Source organism: Homo sapiens, chromosome 2 (genome assembly GCF_000001405.40).
Source record: "Homo sapiens chromosome 2, GRCh38.p14 Primary Assembly".
Lineage (NCBI taxonomy): Eukaryota > Metazoa > Chordata > Mammalia > Primates > Hominidae > Homo > Homo sapiens.
Window position 1 is genome coordinate 20,580,047 of NC_000002.12, and position 12,575 is coordinate 20,592,621.

Here is a 12,575-nt window from a genome sequence, read left to right on the forward strand (position 1 = left end):
TCATACCCACAGTCTACCCACAATTTGGCCCACACCCAGGGACACAGCCCCAAGGGGGCAAGGACTGGAGCAGAGGGCACACAGCCTAGTGGCTAAGCTGGGCAGAGATGCAAGAATAAGCAAGGCAAGGCTGAGGGCCTGCCCCTGGGTTTCAAACAAGCTGGAGGCCTTTAGAAACTTCCAAGGGGGAAGCTGAGTGTGGTGGCTCATGCCTGTAATCCTAGCACTTTGGGAGGCCGAGGCGGGTGGATTGCCTCAGCTCAGAAGTTCGAGACCAGCCTGGGCGACACAGTGAAACCTCGTCTCTACTAAAATACAAAAAATTAGCCAGGCGTATCAGTGTGCACCTGTAATCCCAGCTATTCAGGAGGTTGAGGCAGGAGAATTGCTTGAACCTGGGAGGTAGAGGTTGCAGTGAGCCAAGATTGTGCCACTGTACTCCAGCCTGGGTGACAGAGCGAGACTCTGTCTCCAAAAAAAGAAAAAAAAAGAAAAGAAACTTTGGTGGGGTGGGGAAGCAAAAATTAATTTGTTAAAAGGAATCAAAGGTTATAAAAAGAATTCACAGAAAGGGAAATCTAAATGACTAACAAGTTCATGAGGATGTTGTCAACCTCGCTAGTTATCAGAGAAATGCAAATTAAAACAGTGAGATTCTCCTTTACACTTATGAGATTGGCAAAAATTACCAAGTCAGATAATATCAAGTGCTGACAAAGAAAGTGGGGGTAAAAGAAACCCTCAGGAGCTGCTGGTGGAAGTAAACACCCAGGCAGACAAGTGATGAGCAACCTGGAAGTTATTCTTGAAAATCAATATTTAAGTTCAGTGTGCATGGACCATGTGAACAAGAGTCCCATGCCTGCTGAACTCACACCACGGATATTGGCCCAGACCCAAGGATACCACTGCTGAAGGCACAGCCCCAGGTTAGTGTCCCATGCAGATGCCAGCTTGTCAGGCATGCACTCCAGGCAACATCCTTCCCAAAGAGCAGGCTGTCTTCCGCAAAAGTTGGAAAACAGGCCCCAGTGCAGGCTCTCACACCCGGCCCAGCTCCAGTCCTCAGTCTCAGAGCATGCCCACTGTTCAGCTGCTGCCTCTGGCCTGATGGGGGCTTTGGATCAGTGTTCTGATCTTGGAGAAGTCAAGACATCCACTCCCTCTCCAAGCTCCAGCCTGACATTCCGAAGCCTTCCATTTATCTCACTGTCTGTATTAGTGTTCTATTTAGTGTTCTATTGTTACATTAAAAATTACCACAAACTTAGCAGCTTAAAACAACAAATATTTATTTCTTTTTCTTTTTCTTTTCTTTTTTGAGACAAAGTCTTGCTCTGTCACCCAGGCTGGAGTGCAGTGGTGTGATCTTGGTTCACTGCAATCTCTGCCTCCTGGGTTCAAGCAATTCTCCTCCCTCAGCCTCCCAAGTAGCTGGGATTACAGGCGTGCACCACCATGCCTGGCTAATTTTTGTATTTTTAGTTGAGACAGGGTTTCACCATGTTGCCCAGGCTGGTCTCAAACTCCAGACCTCAGGTGATCTGCCTGCCTCAACCTCCCAAAGTGCTGGGATTACAGGCATGAGCCACCGCACCCAGCCAACACACCTTTATTACCTCACAGTTTCTGTGGTTGAGTCGTCTGGGCACAGCCTACCTGGATCCTCTGCTCAGGGTCTCACAAGACTGTAATGAAGGTGTCAACTGGGCTGTGATCTCATCTGGAGGTTCAAGTGGGGAAGAATCTGTTTCCACCTATGCACTACCTTGCAGCTGTATGCTGGGGGCCCTAGCTTTTCTGCTGCTAGTTGTAGGCCAATTTCAGGTTCTAGAGGCTGCCTGTGGCCTTTACCAGGTGGGCTTTCATGAGTTAGCTGCTTACTCCATCAAGCCTGCAAGGAGAGGTACTCGACTCAGGAAGAGCCCAGTCCCTGTTACAAGGGTTTTCACCTGATTGAGCCAGGCCTGCACAAAATAGTCTGTTTTTATTAACTGAAAGTCAACTGATTTGGGGCCTCAATTACATTTGCAAAATCCCTTCACCTTTGCCAGATTCTGTTGGTTAGAAATAAGTCACCGGTGCCCCCACACCAAGGAGAGGATTTATGCAGGGTGTGACCACCACACTGTGGGCTGCCTTCCTGGAGGCGAAGGCTCCCATTCCACTGAAAAGAAAGTGAAGCCCCAGGCAGTGTAGAATAGCCTTGAGAGACACAGCCTCCTGTGCTCAGAGCCTCTGGAAGCTCAGCACAGCCTTCCAGGGCTCACAGCCTCTAGAAGGAGAGCTGACATGGATGGAGCTGGGGACTGGTCTACCGGAGGTGTGCAGGGAGTGGCTGAGAGAGATTGGTAGGGGAGAGCTGTCCTAGGGGGAGGGTGGGCCTCTCAGGCAGCACAGATAAGTGAGGGAGGGGTGGGGGTAGCAGGCTCTAAGAGTGCCCTGCAGATGTCTGGTGTGGGGAGGAAGTCATTGAATTCCTCCATTTCCAGCTGAGAGGTCCCCAGAGACAGGCAGTGCTCCCCCTCATGTCAGCCCATTACATCATGGTCCCTTTCTCTGCACCCCCATCCTTGGCATCAGGGGACCCCACCCACCCTCTTTCCACTCGGGTTTCACAGGCATCTAGGAGATCAGCTAAGGGGCAGCTGGGATGGCACTGTATGTCCCAACTGAGGGACAGTGGGAGGATTGTCATGGGGCAGACGTGACCTCAGCTCGCTGGGCTCAGCTCATCCTGCTCCAGGGAAGGGCAGTGTCACACAGGAACAAACGCCCACTGTGCTGGGTCTCCTCTTCCCTGAGGGGTTCAGACACAGGCAGGGACCCTTTTGGCAGGGTCAGAGCCTCCAGTGCCTACAAGCCTGCCTGCTCCAGCCAGGCCAGGAGGAGTCCCAACCCTCTGCCACTTACCAGGCCCTGGGCCTGCCTGCACACCCTCCTCACACCCTGGGCCTACCTGCTACTCAGCCTAACCTGAGAGCCCAAGCCCACCCTCCACCCAGAACCAAGACCCTCAGCCACCCCCAGCCTCTGCTCAGGTCCTGAGCAAGGAGGGGCGATGGAGCAGGCATGTGCCATGCACTGTGGTCCCTCACTTCTGAACAACCCCTCTGAGCTGTCCTGAGCTGAGTTTCTCAGGCCCCCAGCCTGGGCACAGGTTGTCCCATTGCACTTCACCTTCCGATGCCATCCACAGAAACCAGCTTTGGCTAACTCACATAGAAAAGGATTGTAATGAAAGGATATGGGGCAGCTTACTGGGTTATCAGGAAGGCTGGAGAGCCAGGCAGGAACCAGGGAGGGGCGCAGTTGGTTCTCACTATGGGGGCAGCTTACTGGGTTATCAGGAAGGCTGGAGAGCCAGGCAGGAACCAGGGAGGGGCGCAGTTGGTTCTCACTATGGGGGCAGCACACCTGGACCTGTCACCCCTGGAGGGACGCTGCTGGATTCTTGAGTTCTTGTAGCCCCACCAATTCTCAGCACCTCTCCCTGAAGCCTGGCACCGCTCCTTCCAGCTTCAAAGTCCAGAGAGAAGGGGCCAGCGGGTCAAGCCCATGTCTTATCACTGTGGCAAAGGAGTGGGGAGGAGGCACCAGCCCACATCATCTCTCATGGTGGGAGGACCTGGGCTCTCCTCCGTCCCTGTGAGTCCCCCAGTAGAGGAAGGGTATTCAGATGTTGGGCCTCAGTGTGGCCCCCAAGCCCTCAGAGGAGCCTCTCATCATGACACCTGGGGCTCGGTCCTGCCAGTGCTCAGTGGACCGTGCTGTCAGGGTCATGGTCTCCCTGACTGGTCTGAGATCACCTGGAAGGAAGGTCACTCCTGGGACCTGGCCAGCATAGCACCTGCACAATGTCAAATATATGGAGATGGCATTTCCTATCTGTGTCCCACGGCTCCGGGTTTCTGAATGTCACCATATTTGGTGCCAGGCTCACAGACTCGGGCATAATTAGTGTTTTGACCCTCCAGCAACAGGGCCACCCTCAGAACCATTAGATGTGGGATTTCTTCTGCGATTGTAAGAGATTGCTTATTAAATTGTTCTGTGGCACTGAGCGAGGACACAGGGCTGTGTCCCCAGAGACTCCCTGTAGGCTGGGCCAGGTGGGGTATAGATAACATGGAGTTGCACCCTTCCTGGTGCTGCTTCTAGAAAGCAGCCAGTTTCCCAGAGGCTGTGCTGGGGAGGCCAGTAGGCCATGGCCCAGCCATGCTGGCAGAAGAGAGATGTTCTAATCACCCTATATCTAGAGGCATCTCTTCCTCCCACTGCTCAGGGAATGGGCTGGGGAAGGACTGGGGTGTGCCGGTCCCTGCCACAGTTCTGCTCCAGCCTCCTGCCCTTGCTGACTCAGCCTGCCTGCTCCAGCTCTCTGAGCACTGAACCTGCACATGGAATGGGGGCCATTGTGCACCACTTCTGCCCCTGCACCACCATCCCCCGCCAACTGCATAAGGCTCTTCGGGTCAGCAGGGGAGGAGCAGAACCAAGAGGTGGCAATGGCAAGAGGTGGTTTCTGCTGGAGCCAGTCCAGACCCCTGACTCTCCTTGAAAGATGCAGAAGCTGATCCAGGGCTTCTTGGTTTGGTCCGCTAACTGCTCACCTTAGGAATTTGCCCCCCAAGTGACATGGATCCGATTGCACATTCCTGAAGCCTGAGTCATTCCTGGGTCCTGCTCAGGCTCAGGAATGTGTTTATGCTCATGGGGCTGGAGGGACATGCACACCACATGTCTGTTCACTTTGGGTTTGGAAGGGATGAGGGCTCTTCTCAAGGATAAGAGGGATGAGGTGGTGACCTCTGGAGTCGCTAAGATGCTGCAGTGTGTGGGCCACAGAGGAGCAAATGAAGGGAGGGCCAGACTCAGGCTGGAACCAAAGCCTTTGGCTTGTGTAGAGTTGGTTTTAACTTGCTCCCAAGGGACAGAAAATGGAGAGGGACAATCTAAGCAGGGCCTCCCCTGCAGTGACCTTGGGAAAGGTACTTGCTCCCTCATCACCTCCTCCCACCAAGGACAACCTCCAAAAGGGCACAGCGTGGCGAGGCTGTGGCTGCCACCTCAGAGCCGTGGCTGAGGAGCTCAGCCCCTCCTCCCACTCTGTCCAGAGCTCTCTGTTGACAAGTCGATGGTTCTCCTCTAGGTCCAATGTGGGCCTCTGCAGCTGTGGAGAGAGCTCACAAGCACGGCTCACATCACTGAGGGTTTATTCAGAGCTCAGCGCTAGGCTGAGCCCTTTACATAGTGTGGCCATATGCCCCCATTTGCCTGGGACAATCCTGGGTTACTAATACAATGATCAACAGTGCCTCCTTTTACTCTCGAGTGTCCCGGTCTGGAAGATAACTATATATTTGCCTTAACTCTACAAGCATAACTGAATCCCTACAATGCACTACAAGAAGAGCACTGCTAATAGTGTCATTTTCTGATGAAGAAACAGGCTCAGAGAAGATAAGTAACTTGCCCAAGGTCACACGATTAGCAAGTGGCAGACCCAGAAACATAGGAATTCAGCTCTTGACTTCAAAGCCTCTTTGCTTTGCCACAACATCAGATTTCCTGTTCTAAAATCCATTGCTTCATGCTTTGAAGGACCGAGAAGCTGCTATCTCCAAATACTAGAAAAATAACCATTAACGTCCTGCAGTGATCCCAGCTCTTCTTCCAGCCCCACGCTTGGCCATTTTGCCTTGTTCGTTTCCCAAGTGACAGCGTGCACAATACCGTTCGCTTGCAACAGCAGCCCCGTCATGGGATGAATACATACCATCATGCCTACTGTGTGTCAGGCACGGCACCTACTGTGTGCCAGGCACAGCACATGTTGTCTGATCCTGACACAACCCTGCATGGTGGGTGTTGCTCCTCCTTTCATGGAAAGGAGACCCCTAGAAGTCACACAGCTGGGAGGAGGCAGGGCTGGGGCTAGAACTCGCAGATTCCGGCTTTGAGCCTAGCAAACACTCTGCAGTGCCATACACCGTGGCTGCACTGCCGAGGCCCAGCTACAGGCTCCGAGGTTCCAGTGTCCTCATGGCGAGATGTAAGTGGCTAAACCCATGTGTGTGGACTCACAGGCCCTCAAGGCACCTCCTCCTCCCAGGAGCCGGGACCGTCCTGCCCTTTGAGGGGGTCTGATGCCCGTTCTCAAAACGTCTTCACAATGCACACACATCACATTAAAGAGGCTTTTGGACAATGTTTTTATTTTTTTGGCGGGAAAGATCAGACATCTTTCACAACAGAGCACAGCCACCTTGAAGCTGGGGAAGGGGCTGTTTCTGAAGCTCAGGGCTTCCCCGTCCAGTTTCTCCACCCAGAGATCATCTCAGTGTGACAGCCTCTTCCCACCCCAATACACCGTCCTCTGGGGAGGAAGAAATAAAAGCAAGCGCATTCCAGATGTTCCCGGGAAAATGGTATTTGGGAAAAGGATGTTTGTTTAGAATTTACCAAAAATAGAGAGCCCCAAAGGAGGAAAAGGCAAGCTCTTGACCCATTTAAAAAGCCATTTCCCAGGAAGGACTTTCTAACAAACAATGTCACAAAAAGAAAAGCTAATAGCTTTGACAATATAATAATATAAAGCTTTGGTACATTCAAAGCCTCCAAAAGCAAAAATTAAGCAACACATATATGCAACAGATATCAAAATGACAACATACAGAGAGCTCATCAAATGATTTTTAAATAAATCCATCAAAACCTTGTTAGGAAAACAGGCAAAGAAAACAGATAATCAACCAAGAAAGTTTTAAACGGCTTAATAAGTATGAACATTTGCGTTTCGTTAATAATCGTATCAATTATAATTTTGAAATACCATTATTTCTCTTTCAGATCATGAGACTGGCTTTATTGGTGTTACCATAAGCTGGTGTAGACCGTAACACCAGCCCTCTCAAACCTGGGCTGAGGGTGGCATATCAGTCAGGGGCAACTCTTTTGGAAACATTTTGGCAACACATATCAAGGATATTTAACTACAAAATGTAAATGTCTTGAAATTTTCTCTGAGGAAATATTGAGAAATTCAGACCAAAAAACTGTGTACAAAGATGATTGATAAAGGGGGTATTGAATAGTAAAACATGGAAGCCAAGATGTTCTACAATAGGTGAATAAATACATTATGATATGTCTGTACGATCATAGGACACAGTCATTTAAAGTGGTCTTTTTGAAGAATGTTTATGCAAAGGAAAAGAAACGAAAGTGAAAAAAGGAGGCTGCAAAGCGTACGAGCCCACTCTTAGGAAGCATGTATAGAGGAATGAATGACATAGCTACATAGAAACATGATGGCCATCAACCACGCCCATCTGTGGCAGGGAGAGCAAGACCCTGACCCCATCCCCTGCTCTCCTGAGGATGGTAGGGATGCCACAAGCCCATTTAGTGTTTCAGAGGGTAGAGGTGAGGCTGGGAACCTGGGAAGAGCCTGGCGAAAGGTTGACGGGGAGAGGGCAAGAGAGCAGGATGTTTGTGTTCACCAATGACAGTGGCCATGGTCCCATGGTAGGTCAGTGGCCCAGAAAGTATCAGAGACCATGGATTAAGAATCAGACCACTGTGCACTCGGGAGGCCGAGGCAGGAGAAGGGCGTGAACCTGGGAGGCAGAGCTTGCAGTGAGCTGAGATCGCACTACTGCACTCCAGCCTGGGCGACAGAGCGAGACTCTGTCTCAAAAAAATAAAAAATAAAAAAATAAATAAGTAAAAAGAATCAGACCACTGTGACAGGCACAGTCCAAGTGGCCAGGAGCTGTGGGGAGCCTGACCACTGAGCCCAGTGCCTTGGCAGAGGGGATGTCATGCATGGGCAGCTCTGTTCTGGGAAAGAAATCTTCTCCCTGTCTCAACGTCCGGGCCTCTTCCACCAACCATCTGGCTGTTCCACAATCTCCTCCACCCAGGACATGGACACTTATCCCCACCCCAGGACATGGGACACCTTGGGGTGGGGATAGGAGGCACTCTCATCCAGTCCTCGGAGACCAGCCTGTGAATACTAGGGCACCCCAAGCTGGTCACCAAGGGAAGTGGACTTGTCTCTCCAAGATGTTAAAAAAAAAAAAAAGACCAAAATATAGTTTACAACAGGTGACAGGATTAAAAGTGATGTTAATTGTCTATGCTTTTCTATATTTTCATAATTGTCTATATCAAGCATGTATTACTTCTATAATTGGAACAAACAATAAAGGCTACTTTTGAAATAATATACATGCTTTTATCTCATACCAAGAAACAGTGTCTTCTGAATTATTCCAAGCCGATTGTTTGCTTGCTCTGTTGCTTAGGCTGGATTGCAGTGGCACCATCTCAGCTCACTGCAACCTTCGCCTCCTGGGTTCAAGCGATTCTCCCGCCTCAGCCTCCCGAGTAGCTGGATTACGGGCACCAGCCACCACGCCTGGCTAATTTTTTTTTGCATTTTTAGTAGAGACGGGGTTTCACCATGTTGGCCAGGCTGGTCTCGAATTCCCGACCTGAAGTGATCCGACTGCCTCGGCCTCCCAAAGCCGATTTTTCTGGGGTTACACAGGTGAACCACCACGCCCAGCCTTCCAAGCCGATTTTTCTGCTGGCGGCTCACAAGGCCCCAGGGTTTCAGCTCCCTCCTGGGAGCACACATCAGCCCATGTGGGAGCTTGCAGCCCCTCTGCCCTCCTCTCTGGCCTGTCAGTACCATCTCAAAAAGCAAGCTCCCTAAAAGCCATGTGAGGCGAAGGCACAGGACATCTCTACTCAGAAGGCTTGCCTGAGGTCCCTCTAACCTCACAGAGGCCTGTCCCCAAGGTCCCAGGCTGAGGCAGGCTCAGCCTTCTGAGAGCCTGATTTCCCCGGGGGAGGGCTGCCAGGTGGAGGAAGCCCAGGGCGTTCGTGCTTGTCTCATGATCTCCAGTGGGGACCAGATGCTGACCACTGAGTCGGCAGGGCTGGGCCCAAAGTCACCACTAACCCAGCACTGATCTCTCCATTTCTTCCATCTGGGCATCAAACTGTCTCTCCTTTCTGCTCCCTATTCAGCCTTAGCCTTGCCCTGGGGGCCACAGAATGGACCACTAGCCCTGCTTTGCATGGATGGGTGCATAGATTGGTCAGCAATGAGTGCATCCCCAGTCTGAGCCTTCACTTCTCAGGATAGCCCATCCCAGGTTCAGCCACTCCTTGTGGTCACTGCCAGGGCCTTCACCGTCCAACACATCCTCATCTGAGCACCCTGCAGCGTGCCAATGTCTCTCTGAAACTGTGCTGTTGGGGGGCTCTGACATGGGCGAGACCTCCAACCTCCCTCACTCTTGACACTAAACCCCTGTGGAACATGACCTAAAGGCCGAGCTTTCCTGGGGCTCTTCACATGTTCCCTGTCACTGAGCTCTGCTCCCCTGCATGCTAGGTGGGCACTGCTAGAGGCTGCCGATGAAGAGATCAGACCTGGCATTGGTTGACTCTGAAAAATCGACTGAGGGACAACACCCCCATAAGCGGCAGCTGGTCAGTGAGGCTGGACAGCTTCCAAGGGCCAGGAAGTTAGCTTGTTAGCTCTAAGGTGTTTTGCAGATCTGAAAACACCAAGTTCTAGGGTGATAAGCACCCCCAACCCTGAGATTCAGAGGATAGAGAATTCTAAGTGGCTCAAATCCTAAGGCAGTGAGGCATGGACCAGACCACACCCTTCCTGAACAGGGCTGCTTCCAGAACTGGAGGACTTGCAGCTATAGGACCCAGACTCCTCACAGCTGGTGGAGGGAGACTCCTCACAGCTGGGGGCGGGATTGTGGGGGAATTGGGGTGGGGGCAGTTGAGGGTTTCCTGCCTCACATGAAGAGAGAGATGACTGAGACTCCTGGGGGTCCTGGAGCCTCCAGTAGTTCCCCCTGGACCAATGGGTCCCAGCAGCTCTCAGTTCATTGCTGTGTCCAGGAGTCTGGTGAAGAGTTAATGCTCAATTAATGTCTGGAGAGTGAATGAATAAAGGAAGGAGGCTAGCACATCAGAGACCACCCGGTCTCAGCAGCTCTCAGGCTGCCCGTGCTGGAGTCACCCCGCCCTCCAGGCAAGCAGATGGGGCTGCTGAGGTGGAAGCTGGGGGCATTTGGCCCTGGTTTTCCTGTCTGAGTGGTTTGCACCCCCGGGCTCTGTGTGTGTTTTTTGGTGCAGCCACGGCTCCAGACTTGAGCCGAATTCTCATTCCCCATATCTTCCTCACTTCTGAGTCAGCTGTGAGCTCCACCTCTACCCAGCCTTCCAGGGTCTCAGGAGAGACCAGTGGTGTCTGTGGGGCATCCTCTGTTTGTTCTTTACTGAGGCTGGAGTCACCTTCTATCACAGACTATCACAGCCTCTCAGGGCTGTCCTTCTCTGTAGAAGGATGATGGGACCCGATGCCTCTGGGCCCTGCCTCACCCCCTCATCCCGGAGCAGCCCCACAGCCTCGCTCCCCTTGGCGATCTCTGGTTCCAGCTGTTGCTCTGTCAACCTCATTAGGTCACGTCCCCGTACTCCACCTCTTCCTCATGGCATGGCCCGGCCCATCTGACAGGTCCTCTCATAGGCAGAGCTGGACGTGTGGGCTGGGCCAGGCTGGGCAACTGGGCCTCTATGAATTTCCACAGATCCAGAGTCAACCCAGTGTGGATCCAGTGAGAACTTATCAAACACCTGGGCACCTGAGCTAGGCTAGACATCCAAGGACGCTGACTTTGGCAATCCTTGTTGGGACCCTGGAAAGGGCAATTTATTGTCTCCACTTGGCATTAGAGGAAACTGATGCTCAAAGAGATGGACCTCCTGGACCAAGGACAAAGAGCACAATCTGGACTCTACACAGACTTGTTTAGGTGCAAAGATTCCTATTCAATAAAGGGAAGGGAATCCAGGAAACTGCATCTCCCTACCTCCCTGCCCAATATTTGTCCATCAGGCTGCCCAGGTCCCCATGCTGTGGCAGGAGCGCCGATGATGAGTGCTGCAGAGACCATGGGAGGAATGCCAGCCTCAGGCCAGGATAGCAGGGCAGGCTGGTTACGTTGGGAGGCCTGGAGCCAGCCAGCCAGGCCCTGATAGCTTACAGCTGCTCCAAATGCAGGAGGCGGAATCAGAGCCTGCCCCAGCCACTGGAGAGGGACGCCTCCATCTGTGCTTGTGTTCTTGGGTGCTGCCAGCCCCTTCCTCCACGGGAGCTGCCAAGGAAAGAGCCCTTTTGTCATCTTCCCAGGCAAGAACAGCCATCCCGTGGCACTCACTCCCTGCACACTCCAAGGCCTCGCTTCTGCTTCATGGAAACAGGATTGAGTCTTGCTTGAAGCTGTGCACCACCAGACCACAAAAAGCCTCAAACATAGGTGTGGCCACCAGCCCCAGAGAGCCACAAGCACTCGGATTCTGGGAGCCCCAAGACTTGGAAGTTTCCCGTGGCACCAAGGCCAGGTGTTTATTGTCAAAGTTCTGGCCAGCCATGCACATTGCTGACAGTTTCTGTCCCTTTGGAGTTCTGGTCGACCATTGTGTTTGTTTGTTTTTTTGAGGAAGGGTCTTGCTCTGCCACCCAGGCTGGAGTACAGTGGCGCGATCTTGGCTCATTGCAACCTCTGCCTCCTGTGTTCAAGTGATTCTCATGCCTCAGCCTCCAAAAAATGCAGACATGCGCCACCATGCCCAGCTAATTTTTGTATTTTTAGTAGAGACGTGGTTTCATCATGTTGGCCAGGCTGGACTTGAATTCCTGGCCTCAAGCAATCTGCCCACCTCTGCCTCCCAAAGTGCTGGGATTACAGGCCCGAGCCACCGCACCTGGCCCTGTGTGATCTTTCTGAGAGTTTCTGAGCAGCGAACACCCCAGGTGGTTGCATGGGGGAGGCTGTAAAATCTGACAGCAGCTAGTGGGTCCTAGGGGGACGGTTCAACATCACGTCCCATGGATGGTCCAAGGACAGAACAGCCCCAGCATCCAGGCCAGAAAGCTGGCCCTGGAGGAAGTTGGTTCCTATCCTGTGCTTCTAGGCTGGGGTGAAGGTTTCCAGGAGGACACCTCCCTTGGTCACACTATTCTCCTGAGCCCCTCTCTCACATACGTGCCCTGCTGCTGCAACCCCCAGAGGGCTGCAAAAATTAGCTGGGTATGGTGATGCATGTCTGTAATCCCAGCTTTTTGGGAGGCTGAGGCACTAGAATTGCTTGAACGCGGGAGGCAGAGGTTGCATCACAAAATCCGCCACAACCCCTGGATTTCCTCAAGGGATTCCCTGTCTGGCCATCCACCTCCCCCGCCCCGCCCCGCCCATTCCTACTTCCCCTTTCGGGCCTGTCCCTCTCTTCTGACCTCCCCCATCCATCACAGTTCTAGCCTTCACTCACCTGCATCACCGTAGTGACTCCCCGACAGCTCTGTCCCTGCCCGGCTCAGACTCTCCTATGCAGCTAGGAGTAAGCCCAGGAGAGCATGTCCCTCCTCCGCTCAAGAGCTTCCAAGGGCTTCCCATCAGGATCAGTTTCCCAGGGCAGTCATAGCAAATGACCACAAACTGGATGGCTTGAAAAGTCTCCTCTCACAGCCC

At 52.5% G+C, this 12,575-nt stretch overlaps 1 protein-coding gene and 1 long non-coding RNA gene across 4 annotated transcripts in view, besides 5 other annotated features; both read right to left on the bottom strand.

The window, feature by feature from the left end:
- Positions 1 to 12,575, bottom strand: part of HS1BP3 (HCLS1 binding protein 3) — a 97,238-nt gene that overhangs the window by 26,186 nt on the left and 58,477 nt on the right. The window lies entirely within an intron of this gene.
- Positions 371 to 932: an enhancer, noted in NCBI's record as "H3K27ac-H3K4me1 hESC enhancer chr2:20780177-20780738 (GRCh37/hg19 assembly coordinates)". NCBI's record gives its function as "activates a minimal SCP1, AML or CMV promoter by ChIP-STARR-seq in naive H9 embryonic stem cells {active_cell/tissue: H9 hESC(naive)}" and the evidence as "EXISTENCE:reporter gene assay evidence [ECO:0000049][PMID:30033119]".
- Positions 933 to 1,493: an enhancer, noted in NCBI's record as "H3K27ac-H3K4me1 hESC enhancer chr2:20780739-20781299 (GRCh37/hg19 assembly coordinates)". NCBI's record gives its function as "activates a minimal SCP1, AML or CMV promoter by ChIP-STARR-seq in naive H9 embryonic stem cells {active_cell/tissue: H9 hESC(naive)}" and the evidence as "EXISTENCE:reporter gene assay evidence [ECO:0000049][PMID:30033119]".
- Positions 4,228 to 4,793: an enhancer, noted in NCBI's record as "H3K27ac-H3K4me1 hESC enhancer chr2:20784034-20784599 (GRCh37/hg19 assembly coordinates)". NCBI's record gives its function as "activates a minimal SCP1, AML or CMV promoter by ChIP-STARR-seq in naive H9 embryonic stem cells {active_cell/tissue: H9 hESC(naive)}" and the evidence as "EXISTENCE:reporter gene assay evidence [ECO:0000049][PMID:30033119]".
- Positions 4,794 to 5,358: an enhancer, noted in NCBI's record as "H3K27ac-H3K4me1 hESC enhancer chr2:20784600-20785164 (GRCh37/hg19 assembly coordinates)". NCBI's record gives its function as "activates a minimal SCP1, AML or CMV promoter by ChIP-STARR-seq in naive H9 embryonic stem cells {active_cell/tissue: H9 hESC(naive)}" and the evidence as "EXISTENCE:reporter gene assay evidence [ECO:0000049][PMID:30033119]".
- Positions 5,925 to 6,488: an enhancer, noted in NCBI's record as "H3K27ac-H3K4me1 hESC enhancer chr2:20785731-20786294 (GRCh37/hg19 assembly coordinates)". NCBI's record gives its function as "activates a minimal SCP1, AML or CMV promoter by ChIP-STARR-seq in naive H9 embryonic stem cells {active_cell/tissue: H9 hESC(naive)}" and the evidence as "EXISTENCE:reporter gene assay evidence [ECO:0000049][PMID:30033119]".
- HS1BP3-IT1 (HS1BP3 intronic transcript 1) lies at positions 10,729 to 12,502 on the bottom strand. The gene is made up of 2 exons (NR_046836.1): positions 12,376 to 12,502; positions 10,729 to 11,201 (listed from the first exon to the last, which is right to left on the bottom strand). It is a non-coding gene; the product is annotated as an HS1BP3 intronic transcript 1 (long non-coding RNA).